General features: G+C 44.8%; 1 long non-coding RNA gene across 1 annotated transcript in view; it reads right to left on the reverse strand.

Annotated features, from left to right (window-relative positions):
• Window positions 1-3712: 3712 nt before the first annotated feature.
• Window positions 3713-16668, reverse strand: part of LOC101927506 (uncharacterized) — a 49390-nt gene continuing 36434 nt past the window's right edge. The window contains exons 5-8 of the long non-coding RNA NR_168395.1: window positions 11793-11927; window positions 10426-11331; window positions 4269-4317; window positions 3713-4175 (exon numbers count right to left, since the gene is read on the reverse strand). This is a non-coding gene — a long non-coding RNA (uncharacterized LOC101927506). The remainder of the gene's footprint in view (window positions 4176-4268; window positions 4318-10425; window positions 11332-11792; window positions 11928-16668) is intronic.

Genomic DNA, 16668 nt, shown 5'->3' on the forward strand with positions numbered 1-16668 from the left:
GCAATTATGACACAAAAAATTAAACAGTGCAGACTGATATATAAATCAAAACAAATGTCCTTTACATGTTTTCTGTTACAGTAGTAACAATATGTGTAAACTTAATTATCATATTTTTTTCTTGTGCTGTGGTTGTGTCCTGGGTTCATTCTCTAAAATGCTGTTCACCTTAGACCAGGAGAAATATTAACCATACAGACTCTGTTTCAAGTCATAGCTGAATATTTTCAAAAGAGTGACTTTGTAAAAACATGTTCCAATGGCAAATTGATTCATTGTGATGGGATCAATTATTCCAAAGACTTCTTGTCTTTATTTTGTTCCCATGCCTACCTTTTAGCCATAATACAACAGAATCAAATATTGGCCACTGGGAAAAAATATTCAAAGAAAGAAAGAATGTGAACGGAACTTATGACCACGATGATTCAATGTTTTACCACAATGCTTTCTAAAACAAAAGAGTCTAAAAGGATATTCAAAGTCAATTTCCTCAGCGAGGCTTTGCAGAAAATGAGGAAACTAGAAAAACAAAAATGGCAGGACATTCTACGGGTGATTTTACATGTTGCTATGTTTTATGGGAAAAAATACTTTACCTTTTAAAGAATCACAAAGAATTATTGGAAACCCAAACTCTGGAATGTTTGCAAATTTAGTTGAGCTTCTATGTAATTATGTCTATATAGGTAGCCATGAAGTTGATGATTTCTTAAAAATCTGTGCCTTATTTGTGTAATAAAAGACACAATGAATAATTAATACTCATAGGAACACTTACGAAGGGAAAATAAATCTTGGGGACTCAAAATCACTAAGCTAAAGGGAAAAGTCAAGCTGGGAACTGCTTAGGGCAAACCCGCCTCCCATTCTATCCAAAGACACCCGTCTGATCACCTAGATAAATGCATACCTGATTGCCTCACGTGGAAAGGGTAATCAGCAATGCAAAAGAATGAAACCATTTGTCTCTTACCTACCTGTGACCTGGAAGCCCCCTGTCTGGCCTTCTCACCTTTCTGGACTGAACCAATGTACATCTTACACGTATTGATTGATCTCTCGTGTCTCCCTAAAGTGTATAAAACCAAGCTGTGCCCCGACCACCTTGGGCCCATGTTGTCAGCATCTCCTGAGGAGGAATCACAGGTGCACATCCTCAAGATTGGCAAAATAAACTTTCTAAAAAATCTGAGAGCTGTCTCTGATTTTCAGGGTTCACACATGTAATGTAGGATGTCAATGTTTATAAAAGGGATGTTATTCTATCTACTATTAGAAATATGCTGTCAATTAACCTTAAACTTTCTCAACAAAATAAAAAATGTTGATGAGGTACAAATAATATATCTAGGCTTAAATAGTGTTGCAAATTTTAATATGCCTACTTTTCAATTTTTCAATACTATCTTTACTAATTTAACACTGTAAGAAAAATGAGTAATTAAAACATGAATAAAAGTGTTTACAGGGGATGCACATGTTTCCTCCAGCCTCTGCCTATACCCAACTTTCATCCCAACTGTCCTGATGGTGGCTCTAAGCATTTCTCCTTTCTCTATACCAAGATATCTCCCCAGAAACAAACCCAAATCTTACTATATGTTATGGCACGCTATGATGATGAGCAGCGATGAGCAGCCGAAGCCTCAAGGAAGGGATGCTTTTGTAAAACAAGACTTGTGGAATATAACATGTGAAAGTAAAGCCCACGGCAGAGCTCCCTCCTCAGCACACGGGGAGCAGACAGGAAGTTTTTCCTCACCTTCCTCAATGGCCTGCAGCCACGTCTCCCCAGGTCAGTCTTAAGGACAATGAAACTCTGGTCTTCACTGTGGACATGCCACACTACCAGGCACTCCAAAGCCATGGTGACCCACCCTCGGGTGGGTCCTGAGGAGAACAAAGCTCTGGTTCTAATTCTAACCCTAACCTTGTCCCAAGACTTTGACACTGAACCTAAATCCTGATCCCTATCCTGGTCCCTAATTCTGACCCTTACTTTGACCCTGACTTTGATCTCGACCCTGACCATGACCCCACCTCTAACCATACTTCTGGCCCTGACTCTGACCCAGATCCTAATCCTATCCCTAACCCTATTATTATCTTTACAATCTATGTCTAATCTTACCCTCTAGTGCTAAATAGCTGTACCCAAAAGCACTTTTAAATTATTTAACTTCTTTTCCATGAATTCTCTAAGGACATCCTAAAGGAGATGTCAATATGTATTTTGCATTCCCTCTGAGTGGTATGGCTTCAGATAAGAAGTTCTAATACTTTGCAAGACATAAAAAGTTTGGAGGGTGACAGCACTGGGTTGTTAGGGATGCATGTTGGCATTCGTTGTAGTCATAGGTGCTGTTCTCCAGATATTTTCAGTTCATATTTTATGAATGCATTCTGACTGTTCCATCCCGCCTACTTACATTTTCACATGGCCACATGACTTTTTTTTTTTGCCAATGGAGGTGAGAAGAAATAACATGTGACTTTTTCAGGAGAAATCTCCAAGAAACAGAGTGCTATTCCACATACTTTTTTATCTTTTCTATAGCAATGGGGATCTTATTGATCGTCCCTCCTTCCGTCTGGATTCCTGTGTTAGGATGACACAGCACAGAGCTACCTCTCACCTGACCCATGATGAAATGTAAATAAATGAGGAAGAAGATTTTTGAGCCACTGAAATTTGGAGGTTGTTTGTCACCACAGTTTAACCTAGCCCCCATTGACTGATGCACGGCTGAAGAATGAGTCCGAACTGGATCTGGACAAGACATGTGAAGAGAGCTCCAGGCTGAGTTAAATTCAAGTGTTTTCTTAAAGATAACAGTGAGCACGATATGTTATTGGGGTGGGTGTGGGATAAATAAGGTATATCAGGTGAGAATAATAAGAAACTCAACTTTAAAAGAAGGTGCTGATTTGGACTGTAGACAGATTCAACTGCCCTGCTTAGCATTTGCGATTGTGATGGATGAACTAATTAAGAGCCCAAAATGAAAGCTTGGGATAAATATCTGAGGGTGTCTAATATCCCAGTTTTTCATCCTAGAATGGGCAGAGTCCTTGACCCCATTCTAGGGAGACTTCCAAAAGAAAAAAGACCTGCATTTCTTCAACAACCCACATAGAGAGACTTTCCTGCACTTTTGACCTGTGGCTAACACTCCTTACCTTTCATTCTGTCATCAGTGTTTTAGGGAAACACCTTTAACTCTCTACGATTTACAGGTTATTAAGTGGCGCTTACAATTCCCTCCAGAGGTGAAAAAGACATAATGATGGTGTCTGAGCTCACAGCAGCAAGCAGGCGTGTGTGCTCAGCAGCCACGTGGCTCATCTGCTAGGAGCTTGCTAAATACGATGTTCTACAACATTGCTTAACACAAGGGGAGACGCTCCTGACTTGGAGAGTTTAATTGCTCACCTACTTCTTTTTCTGCCCTCTTGGGCTTCTAAAATGAAAAGAACCCTGGGGTGATAAAGTGAGTCAAAGGGGTACCAGGTGCATCACAGCAAAATAGATTCCTAAAAAATCCCTGGCCTAAGATGATACCCTTGGCTGGATACGTTTGAATGTGCTGATAGTGGACATGGTAGAGTGAAGGTGGTTGAAATGTTCATATTAAAGAACTTCCACCCAGATTGCAAGAAAAGAGAGAGGAATGGAGATGGCAGCACGAGTCCCTACAATAAAAGCAGATGTTTTGAGACCAGTTATATTTCTTCCGACAAAAATTAAAGACAGAAACCAAAGTTTAGCCTGAGGCTACAATTAATTGGGCAATAAGCCGAAGGCACATGTGGCATAGACAGATTTAAACATTTCTCCCTTATATTAATACAAATACTAAAATTACAAATACTTTGATTCCAAATAAAACAAATATTTAAAAAATTTAATGAATAAACACTGGGGTCTACAGTAGTATTTGAAGGAGATCTCACAAACAGGTTTGGTTTTTGAAGGTTAGAACTGGTGGTCTAGAGAATTCATTTCATTCCAGAGAGAGAAAGAGAGGAATTTCTTGGGTTCCTTCAGGAATGTGTCTAGCTTTGCCTCATGTTTGTTTGAACGATGGATACGGCAGAAGAAAGCATGAGGATTTCACAGATTTAAGGTGCAAAAAGTCACTGGGTTCTCTAAGAAGTCTGGGATTCTTCTGCTGCAAAAATAAGTTTGTTGAGAAAAAATGAGTTGGAGGAGGCTGTTATTGAAGTGAAGCAGAATTGTTTTTACTAATCTGCTTATTACCCACTCTGCAGTGTGGAAACAAATTATTCATGCACAAGGTCCTCTTACTGTTCCTAGAATGCAGTGGAAAGAGAACAGATTAGTTTTTCTCACTCAGAACACAACCCCTAGAAACATCCTACCTCAGATGAGATATTGCCTAATTATTTTCAAAGGACAGTGAAAAATTATGGATGTAATGTTTGCTGCAAAATTAATACATGCTAGAAACAGAAGCATCTGGGTCACAGCTATATTAGAGCTATCTGTGTTCCCCTGTCACTGAGATTAAAACAAAAATGTCCAATACAATCACTCACAGCATGGGAGAGGGGAAGTTGAAGGATGGAAAGGCCAGGCATAAAAGGATTTCAGAATTTCCGTCCATAAGGAAGTAGCTTTGTGCATTGTCTGTTACTGTGTGCAAGGTGAAGTTTGGAGAATGAAAACGTGCAGTAACAACGGCTCCTTTGTCCCTCTCACCTCTCCAGATACCAAGTTTCAGACATGTTGCATTTTAGTTGAAAGGTTGATATAATTTTTTTTAAAGAACACTTGCGGTGTTTGAAGTGACAAAGGCTGCTGTGACAAAAAAGCAGGGAAAGGGATTTTTTTTAAAAAGCAAACAACAACAACAAAAACCCCACAGAAAAGCAAACAACAAACAAACAAAAAACAGAGGAAGAAGTTGAACACCCTGGGCTGTGACTACTTCCAGGAAGGGGCTACAAGAGGCAGTTGGAAATTCTATTTGCTTTGCAACTGTGGGTCTTCCAGCCTGCTTCCTTTCTAAAGTATATTACTCTGCTTTTGGTTCATGAAATTATCCATTTCTGTTTTCTGGAACAGCTATGTATTTTCTTTATCTATCATCTATCTATCTACCTGCCTATCATCTATCTATCTATTTACTATCTATCTTTTCTACCTTTCGCTATCAAGAGCTTGGGTCAAGCAGGATAGAATTCCAGTGTATATTCACTCTACCATTTAAAACAAGAGCTCTTGTAGGCATTCTCCATCACATCATAAACCTGAGCTTTCTAAAACAGGGTGTGGCAAACTACCATGCATGGACCAGGTCTGACACAGTCTGCGTTTGTAAGTAAAGTTGTAATGGGACACAGCCAATACATGTGTTATATAACGTCTCTGGTTACTTTCATGGTATAATGGAAGACCTGAGTCATTAAGAGAGAGACCATATGGCTTGGAAAACTTAAAATATTTAACATTTAGCCCTTTGCAGAAAATATTTGCTGACTCTTGTTTTAAGAGATCTCTGTTTAGAATGCTACCTATTGCCTTCTGGATAGAATCACAACTCTTTACCACGATCAACACAGCTTCAGCCCTGCTTCTATATCCAGCCTCATCTATTTCTGCTCCTCCTCCTTATTTTCCTTCCGGACATGCTGATGAATTGTCAGCTTCCCAGATGTGTGAGAATCTCTCCTCCCTTCCCAGCATTCTGATGCTCTCCCTCTGCCTCTCAAGAACTTCCTGCCCCATCTCTCATGACAAATCCCTTCTTCATTCTTTAAGATGCAGCCCCTTTGCTCCTTCCTTAAAGATGTCTATCTGGCTCTATTTTGGGTGACATGCTCCTTCTGCATCTCCCAGAGCCACCCTGTGTGTGTCAGCTACAGCATTTCTTTGCATCTCTGTGTCATATATCACCAAATCTGCCTAACCTTGAGTGAGTCACTGCATGACAACTTCAGACTCCACCAGCATTGTCCCCACCAATCAATTATTTTCAACCATTTAAAAATGTAAAAATCATTCTTGCTTCATGGGCCATACAGAAACAGATGGTGGGCAGAGTTGGCCCAGGGACAGACCACTGTTTGCTGACCACTGCCACACTGTCTTAATCAAGGCAGCTTTTATGGTGAGCCATGGTATCTAGTAATTTCTCCCATTTTTGTCCCTTTTAAGGGCCCTTACTTGGCCCTTTGCATTTCCATATAAATTTTATAATTAATTTGCAGATGTCCACAAAAAAGCCTATTAGAATTTTAATGGGACAGCTAATGCTAGAAGGGTAATTTTAGGAGAAACAAGAGATGCTTATAAGTTGTGTGTGTGTGTGTGTGAGAGAGAGAGAGAGAGACACAGAGAGAGAGAAAGAGACAGAGAGAGAGAGAGACAGACAGAGACAGAGAGAGACAGGGTTTCACTCTTGCCCAGGCTGGAATGCAACGGTGCAATCATGGCTCACTGTAGCCTCGACCTCCTAGGCTTAAGCAATCCTCCCACATCAGCCTTCCAAGGAGCCAAGACTACAAATGTATACCACCACACCTACCTAATTTTTTTGACTTTTAGTAGAGATGGGGTTTCACCATGTTGCCCAGGCTGGTCTCAAATTCCTGGGCTCAAGTGATCCACCCACCTTGGCCTCCCAAAGTACTGGGATTATGGGTATGAGCCACCATGCCTGGCCTTTTAAAAAAGTTTGAGACAGGGTCTCACTCTGTCACCCAGGGTGGAGTGCAGTGGTGTGATCATGGCTCACTGTAGCCTCAACCTCCTGGCTCAAGTGATCCTACCACCTCAGTCTTCCATGTAGCTGGGACTACAGCTGCGTGCCACCACATCTGGCTCATTTTTTTTTTCTTTTTTAAGTAGAGACAGGGACTTGCTATGTTGCCCAGGCTAGTCTCAAACTCCTAAGCACAAGCGATCCTCCCGCCTCGGCCCCTGAAAGTGCTGGGATTGCAGGCATGAGCCACCACACCCGGCCAAAAGTTGCTTTTGAGGAGTTATTGCTGTGTGGATGTGATATAACCCTTTCTGTCATCTCTTCACAAAACTTTCTGTAAAACATAAAAATCACCTGGACCTTCAGAGATGAGTTTGTTTATTTTTTTATTTTTTTAAAAATTGCTAATTCACAGAACATGGAGATGAGTATGTTTTGAAGGCTTGGAAGCATGCAAGTGGGAGAAGAAAGGAGTCAGCTACATTCTGGCTGTGTGCAGAGGCAGGTCACTGTGGTGGGAGTGTTCCTGTCTCATGGACTCTGCAAATCACAATGCTTGGCATGGCCTCCCGACCCTGATGGCAGAGAAGCAAACACCAGTCGGAGAGCTGGGGTCCTCCCAGCCCTCTTGGCCCTGTGGCCAATTTTTTCTCCAATAGCCTCATAAAATCACGTTATTTGAGTGTCCATGGCTCCAAAACAAGCAGGGATGCCCATGGACCCTGATTATCCATTGTCACCCTTCCCTCCAAACAGCCACCTCTCCCCTGGAGACAGCCCCATACTCCACTCAGACCTGTGCACTTCCTGGTATCCTTGTCACCTGCTTTTTATGTCTCATTTTACAAACACCAAATTGGAAGACAGCAGGAGCTGCCCCATAATACCAGTAAAGTGAGAAGCAGAGATAAACTAGTCCTAGACAGCCGACTCATGTTGGGGGCAGCCCACTCACAGTGGCCCTGACCCAACTCTGACTAGAGGCCACTTGCTCTCAACACCAGGGTGCTCAATGGTCCATCCTGGTACTCTGCTCTTCTCTCTCCACCTTCGCTTTCCTGCAGTCTATGCAGCCTGTGACTCCATCCATGGGCTAGTGACCCCCAGACCTTTTCCTGGGACCACAGGCCTGTGTCTCTATCAGCTGCTCAATACCTCCCCTCGAACATCCATGGCTAACACTGAGCTCCTGATACTCTCTCCCTACCCGCTTCTCTGTGGATTCCCCACCTCCACGAAGGACAGCTTCATCCTTTCAGCTACTCAGGCCAGAAGATTGAAGTCATCTCCTTCTCCAGGAAATCGTATTGGGGGAGCTACAAATATCCAAAATCCGATCGCTTCTCCTCCACTACACCCGAGGCCCGCCACCCATTTTTGCCTGAATTGCTGCAGCAGCCTCCTAACCGATCTCTGCTTTCACGTGGGCACCTCAGTTTTTTCCAGAACAACAACCAGAGAGATCTGCTCACACCCAAGTCAGACCAGGTTACTCCTCTACTCTCATAGCATTTGGAGGAAAACCCAGAGTGCTCGTGTTGGCCGGCAGAGCCAGCCCCCATCTCCTCTGACCTCCTCCCCACCTCTTGCCCTCAGCACCCAGAGTGCTCGTGACGGCCAGCAGAGCCAGCCCCCATCTCCTCTGACCTCCCACCTCTCGCCCTCAGCACCCAGAGTGCTCGTGTTGGCCAGCAAAGCCGGCCCCCATCTCCTCTGACCTCCCACCTCTCGCCCTCTGCACCCAGAGTGCTCGTGACGGCCAGCAGAGCCGGCCCCCATCTCCTCTGACCTCCCACCTCTCTCCCTCAGCTAGTCCTCGAACATGTCTGATGTGGTCCCACCTTGGGACCCACATTGCTACTCCTCTGCCTGTAGGGGTACCCACAGTTATCCACACAGTTCACTCCTGTCTTTCAGGTCTTTGTGCAAATATCACCTTCTCAGTGGAGACTACACCTTCAGGACTTAGGCTGTGCCTGGCACATAGTAGGTGCTCTGTAGACACTGGTTGTAGGAAGGAATCTACAGGTTGAAATAAGGAGATCATTTCCCTGAGGTTCCGAAGCTCATATTTACTCACCATTTGTTGTTTACTGCTAATATTGAGCACTATCAGTAAAATACATAAAACCCTTTGCCAATCCAGGAAATGAAAATGACACTTTACTGTTTTAGTTTGCATTTCTCTGCTTACAAATGGATTACACGCATTTTCATGTGCTGTTGGCTACTTATTCATTCAGAAAACATACTAAGTGCTGGCTCTTTTTCATGTCCTTTATCAAGTTTGGATCATGTCATTTGCTGTTTTCTTTCTGATGTAAACTCTCAAAGTTTGAAGGGTATTGTCTTTTCCTGACACATACATTGTAAATAATTTTCTGGCTTACATTTTGACTTTTAATTTCATTCACGATGTTTTTAATGAATAATTTTAATTTTTATGAATGCAAGTTAAAATAATTCTTTCATTGTGGTTTCTGACATGTCATGCCAATAAGGGTCTTCTCCTCCAAGAGCACAGAAATATTTGCCAATACTGTCCTTAAAATCGGTCACAGTTTCATTTTTTATATATGCATTTTACTTCAATTGGGGCTTCATTTTACTGAATGCCCTATTTGAAGCAAGTTTCTCAGTTAATTCTTTTCTCAAAGTGCTAAGTATGGTAGATTGCAAACATAAGTGGCCACATAATACTCCCACCTCCTTGGCCTCCTCTCCCAGGAGGAGATAGCCTCCATCTTTCCACTCCTTAATCTGGGCTTGGCCATGTGACTTACACTGGCCAATGGGATATTAACAAGTCTGATGTGCACAGAGGCTGTAGAATGTGCACTGGGGCTTGGTCTCTCTTGCTGCCCTGGAGACCAGCTGCCCCACGAAGGAAACAGAGCCAACCTGCTGCTTCCTGGGGGGAGACAGTCCCTCAGTCCCTCTGTCTCTGCCAACCAGTTAACCTGCTGCTTCCTGGAGGAAGACAGTCCCTCAGTCCCTCTGTCTCTGCCAACCAGTTAACCTGCTGCTTCCTGGAGGAAGACAGTCCCTCTGTCCCTCTGTCTCTGCCAACCAGTTAACCTGCTGCTTCCTGGAGGAAGACAGTCCCTCAGTCCCTCTGTCTCTGCCAACCAGTTAACCTGCTGCTTCCTGGAGGAAGACAGTCCCTCTGTCCCTCTGTCTCTGCCAACCAGTTAACCTGCTGCTTCCTGGAGGAAGACAGTCCCTCAGTCCCTCTGTCTCTGCCAACCAGTTAACCTGCTGCTTCCTGGAGGAAGACAGTCCCTCTGTCCCTCTGTCTCTGCCAACCAGTTAACCTGCTGCTTCCTGGAGGAAGACAGTCCCTCTGTCCCTCTGTCTCTGCCAACCAGTTAACCTGCTGCTTCCTGGAGGAAGACAGTCACTCTGTCTCTGCCAACCCAGTTGACCGCAGACATGCAGGTCTGCTCAGGTAAGACCAGCACAGTCCCTGCCCTGTGAGCCAAACCAAATGGTCCAGCCACAGAATCGTGAGCAAATAAGTGATGCTTAAGTCACTAAGATTTGGGCAAAAGCTGAGCATTTATCCCAATCCCAATACTGTTTGTCCTTCTGTTTATCTGTCTGTCCTTCTCTGCTCATTTAAAATGCCCCCACTGCATCTAGTACATTTTTATAGGATCAGGGATCTGCTCTTGGATTTATGTCATGTTCCCACCTCGAGGCAGCTTTGTAAGCTTCTGAGCACTTCCCAATTCCGGGTGACTTCAGGCGCTGGGAGCCCTGTGCATCAGCTGCTGCTGTCTGTAGCTGAGTTCCTTCACCCCTCTGCTGTCCTCAGCTCCTTCGCCCCTGGGCCTCAGGAAATCAATGTCATGCTGACATCACTCTAGATCTAAAACTTGGGTTCTTGGACCAGGTGCGGTGGCTCACATCTGTAATCCCAGCAATTTGGGAGGCCGAGGCGGGTGGATCACAAGGTCAGGAGATCAAGACGATCCTGGCTAACACGGTGAAACCCCGTCTCTACTAAAAATACAAAAAAATTAGCCGGGTTTGGTGGCAGGTGCCTGTAGCCCCAGCTACTCGGGAGGCTGAGGCAGGAGAATGGCGTGAACCTGGGAGGTGGAGCTTGCAGTGAGCCAAGATCACGCCACTGCACTCCAGACTGGGAGAGAGAGCGAGACTTTCTCAAAAAAAAAAAAAAAAACTTAGGTTCTTGGATGTTCGGGAAAGGGGGTTCTTTATCTAGGATCCTTGAAGCACCCCCAAGGGCATCTTCTCAAAGTTGGATGTGTGCATTTTCCTGAGAGGAAAGCTTTCCCACATTATTCAGCTTCTGAAAGGGTTACTTGACCCACAGATGTGAAGCTGAGGCTGAAGGAGACTGATGTGGTTTCTCCTCAGTTTCTCTGTGTGGCACCAGGTGGCAGCAGAGGTCAGCAAGGCAAACCCGAGCCCAGGGATGCGGAGTGGGGGCAGCTACGTCCTCTCTTGAGCTACAGCAGATTAACTCTGTTCTGTTTCATTGTTGTTGTTTAGTTTGCTTTTTTTTCTCCAACTTTGTGCTTCATCAGGAAAAGCTTTGGATCACAATTCCCAGTGCTGAAGAAAAGGCCAAACTCTGGAAAAAATTTGAATATTTTGAGCCAAATGTGAGGACCACAACCTGTGAGAATGGAAAATAAATCCTGGGACCCCAGACTCACTAAGCCAAAGGGAAAAGCCAAGCTGGGAACTGGTTTATGCAAACCTGCTTCCCATCTGGTTCCTAAATAAGATAGCTATTACACAAAGACAAAAAAGCTACATCCCTGCCTCTACCTCCATCGCATGCAAAATGTGTATTCAGTGAACGCTGACCAAAGACAGAAGAATGCAACCATTTGCCTCTGATTTACCCACACCCATTTTTTCCACTTCTTCCCCTTTCCCCAATACCCGCACTTTTCCCCTTTACTTACTGAGGTCCCCAGACAACCTTTGGGAAAAGCACGGACCACAGTTTTTCCTGTGGTTCTCTGTTCTTTTCTCAGGTGTGTCCTTAACCTTGCAAACAGATTTCTTGAAATGATTGACACTCACCTTGGTTGTGTTCTTTGATCAGCGCCTGTGACGCAGCTTCAGGAGGTCCTGAGAACGTGTGCACAGTTTAGTCGGCAGAAACTTAGGGAAACGTAAGACCACCATCAGTACGTAGGAGTTGTGCATTGGTTTGGTCTGGAAGGAGGAAAATTCAAAGTAATGGGGTTTACAGGTCATAGATAGATTCAAAGATTTTCTGATTCTCAATTGGTTGAAAGAATTATTATCTACAGACCTGCTATCAATAGAAAGGAGAGTCTGGGTTAAGATAAGAGACTGTGCAGACCAAGGTTCTTATTATGTAGATGAAGTTTCATAGGTGGCCACCCTTAGAGACAATAGATGGCAAATGTTTCCTGTTCAGACCCATAGAAGGTGCTAGGCTCTCAGCCAATGTCTTCAGGATCAGAGAAAGACCTGGAAAGGGAAGGGATTCTCTACAGAATGTAAATGTCCCCCACAAGAGACAGCTTGGCAGGGCCATTTCAAAGTATGTCAAAGAAATATATTTTGAGGTAAAATATTGATTTCATGGCCTCTGTCTGTCATGTGATGCTGCACTGGAGTCAGGTTGGAATTTGGTATCTTATTGCTAGAGAGCCTTGTCAGTCTTCAGATCTCTGTTTTAATGTTGGTTCTGGTCAGTTCTGCCCAAATTCCAAAGGGAGGAGGGTACAATGAGGCCTGTCCAGCCCCCACTCCTCCTCATCACGGCCTGAACTAGTTCTTCAGGTTTCTCTGGAATCCCTTTGGCCCAGAGGCGGGGTCCACGCGATCGGCTGTGGGGCTTAGAATTTTATTCTTGGTTTACGGCAGCTTTAGGGAGGTGCTCTGAGACCCGAAACTAGACTCGACTTTAACAGACACAGACGACCCTGAAGGTGAGACTGTCTGCTGGTGGGATGCTGGGCGAGTTGCTTAATGTCCCTGAGCTGCTATTTGCTAACTGTGAAGTGGGATCCTGGTCCCTGACAGGCAAGATTTTGGCACACGGAGAGCTGGTGCACGTGGGCGGCTGTCCCCTAAACTCGCGTCCCTTCTTTTTAATCATACCCCACTGGCTGCACCTACACCTCCTCCCAGGCACACACCGAAGAGGATGAGCTCTGGTCCTCGAACCTCTTGTCTGCTCCCACCAGGCAGATTCTCTGTTCCCCGTGCCCAGGCAGCAGTGGTGGACACCAGCATCCCGGAATGGTGTAGAAAGGCTGACCCCATCATAGCCAAAGCCTGGGGTCTCCTGTTTCCCTCCTCCTCCTCCCCACTCCTCCCCCGACCCCTCCCTCCTCCACTTACCCCCATCCCCTGCATAATGGGTTTCTAGCTGCCTCCTCTGCCTGCCCAAACAGGACAGGCAGGAAAAACTGGCTTGGTTCTGAGTAGGCAGTTTCAGGGCCTTAAGGAGAAATTCATCGGCCATTAATCAGGACCTTCCCTCCGGGGAGTTGGCAGCTTCAGGTGTGGTCTCTGGAAACAATCCCCATAAATTATTATCAGAGAACCTCTGTCTTGGGTGGCAGAGGCAGCCTGGTTGGGGTGGGCACCCCGGCTACGGAAAGGAGCAGCTCCCTCCACTTTCCTTCCGGCTGCATGTGGAGAGGCTCGAGCGGGGCACAGTCCATGACGAGATATTGTGTTTGGATTTTTCCTTTTTTTTAATAAAGAAGAAAGATAAGGTATTGTGCTCATCTTGTAAAAATCAAGCACACAGTACATCAGTCTATTCTACAAAGAAACACAACCTAAGCAAAGATTTGTTATAGGCAGTGGCCAGTTACAGAAACAGTAGGACTTGCATTAGGGGTTTTGTATGGGAAAGAAAGGGAGTCAGACACAGACGTGATGGTGGAGACAGGGGCAGGAAGACAGAGCAGCTGACACTTCCAGAAATAGCTGGCCAGAGGCCAGCAGGAGGGAAACACCGACCCGAGGAAAGAGAGACGGGGATTGGGAGAGAAATTCAGAAGAGACTGAGGCACGCACACAGACAGACACACCCACCCACACACAGATACGGATTCAAAGAGACACGCACACTCTGAGTTTCTGAGAGTAAGCCACTGTCAGTTCCTGGGGTGAGCCACCAGCCACATGGACACAATTTCCTCTTTTTGGTAAGTCTTTGACCTGTCTGAACCCCCTACTTAATTACCTATAAAATGAGTCATTGCAAGGATGACAAAGACGCTCTCCTTGACCAAACTCCACTCAGGCTCCTTTGAGCCTTCTCCTTGATGAAGCCTCATCCTTGGCCTGCTGAGCTCAGTGCTAGCAAGGAATGCTGCTAAGGTCCTTAGTGAGAATCTTCCCCACCCTTGCTAACTAACCAAGCTCCTTTCAACAACTTTTCATCACCTCCCTCACCCTGCTCATTGGCTATCCCCACTTGTCTCTGTTGTATTGAGAGTTGAATTCAGTCTCTCTCTCTCCTCTTGCAATAGTTTTTTTTTTTTTTAAGAGACAGGGCCTTGCTCTGTCAACCAGGCTGGAGTGCAGTAGCACAATCACAGCTCAGAGCAGCCTCAAACTCCTAGGCTCAAAGGATCCTCCCACCTCAGCCTCCTGCGTAGTTGGGACTACAGGTGTATGCCACTGCACCAAATAATTTTTTAAAACATTGTAGAGATGGGGTCCTGCTTTGTTGCCCAGGCTGGTTTTGAAGTCCTGGCTTCAAGTGATCCTCCCACCTGGGCCTCCAAAGGTACTGGGATTACAGGCATGAGCCAACCTATCAGCCTGGTAATCAGCCTGGTAATCACGTAAAACAGACACATAGACCAGTGGAACAGAATAGAGAACCCAGATATAAATCCACACATTTACAGCCAGCTCATCTTCAGCAAAGGCACCAACAACATACGAGCGAAAGGACAGTCTCTTCCATAAGTGGTGCAGGGGAAACTAGATAAAGATATGCAGAAGAATGAAACTAGACCCGTCTCTCTTACCATACACAGAAATCAAATCAGAATGGATTAAAGGTAAAACTGAGACCTGAAAGTATAAAACTACTGGAAGAAAACATTAGGGAAGTGCTCCAGGACATTGTTCTCAGCAAAGACTTTTTCAGTAGGGCCCCAAAAGCACAGGCAACCAAAGCAAAAACAGACAAGTGAAATCACACCAAGCTAAGAACCCTCTGCAGACCAAAGGAAAAAGTCAACAAACTGAAGAGACAACCCACAGAATGGGAGAAAATACTTGCAAGCTACCCACCTGACAAGGGATTCATAACCAGGAGCTCAAACAATAGCAAACAATTAATCGAATTTTAAAATGGGCAAGAGACCTGAGTAGACATTTCTCAAAAGAAGATGTACAAATGGCCAGCAGGTACATGAAAAAATGCTCAACATCACTAATCATCAGAGAAACGCAAATAAAAAACTGCAATGAGGTCTTCTCTCACCTCAGTTAAAATGGCTTTCGTCAAAAACGCAGGGAATAAGGGATGCTGGCGAGGATGTGGAGAAAGGGGGACCCTCACACACTGTTGTGGGAACGTTGATTAGTACAACCACTATGGAAAACAGATGGAGGCTCCTCAAAAAACCAAAAGGGGCCGGGCACGGTGGCTCACGCCTGTGGTCCCAGCACTTTGGGAGGCCAAAGCAGGGGGATCACAAGGTCAGGAGTTTGAGACCAGCCTGGCCAACATGATGAAACCCCATCTCTACTAAAAATATAAAAAATTAGCCAGGCGTGGTGGTGCGACCCTGTAATCCCAGCTACTTGGGAGACTGAGGCAGGAGAATCACTGGAACACAGGAGGTGGAGATTGCGGTGAGCGGAGAGCGCACCATTGCACTCCAGCCTGGGTGACAGAGCAAGACTCCTCCTTAAAAAAATAAATAAATAAATAAAAGTTGGCCGGGCGCGGTGTCTCACACCTGTAATCCCAGCACTTTGGGAGGTGGAGGCGGGCGGATCACAAGGTCAGGAGATCGAGACCATCCTGGCCAACATGGTGAAATCCCGTCTCTACTAAAATACAAAAAATTAGCTGGGCATGGTGGTGCGCACCTATAAATCCCAGCTACTCGGGAGGCTGAGGCAGGGGAATCGCTTAAACACAGGAACCCGGGAGGCAGAGGTTGCAGTGAGCCAAGATCACACCACTGCACACCAGCCTAGTGACAGAGCAAGACTCCATCTCAAAAAACAAACAAACAAAAAAAAAACACCTAAAAGTAAAACTGCTGTATGATCCAGTAATTTCACTAACTGGGCCTATAGTCAAAAGAAACAACATCAATATATCGTAAAGACATCTGCACTCTCATGTTTACTGCGGGACTACTCACAATCGCCAAAATACGGAATCAGCCTCTGAGTTCATCAGCGGATGATGGATAAACAGAACGTGGTGTGTATACACAGTGGAATATTATTCAGCCATACAGAGGAACGACAGCCTGTTATTTGTACAAGATGGAACTAGGGATCATTATGTTAAGTGAAATAAGCCAAGCACAGAAAGACAAACATTGAATGTTCTCTCCCACCTACTAAAAAAGTAGCTCTCGTGAAGACAGAGGGTAGACGCGTGGTTACCAGAGGTGGGGAAATGTAGCGGGGAGAGGGGGAGAAAGAGAAGTTGATTGAAGGGTACAAATACGTGGTTTGATAGAAGGAATAAGACCTAGTGTTACATAGATCATAGTTGGCAATTGCCTACTGTATATTTCAAAATGGCTAGAAGAGAAGAATCGGAACGGTTCTAGCATAAAGCAAAAACAAATATTTAAGGCGATAGATATTCCAAGTAGGCTGATTTGATTTTCACAATTATATGAATGCATTAAACTATCACATGTACCCTGAAACTATGTACATCTATTATGCATCAGTGAAAAAGAAAAAAGAAACAAGAACT

The sequence above is a fragment of the Homo sapiens genome, chromosome 8 (assembly GCF_000001405.40).
Source record: "Homo sapiens chromosome 8, GRCh38.p14 Primary Assembly".
Lineage (NCBI taxonomy): Eukaryota > Metazoa > Chordata > Mammalia > Primates > Hominidae > Homo > Homo sapiens.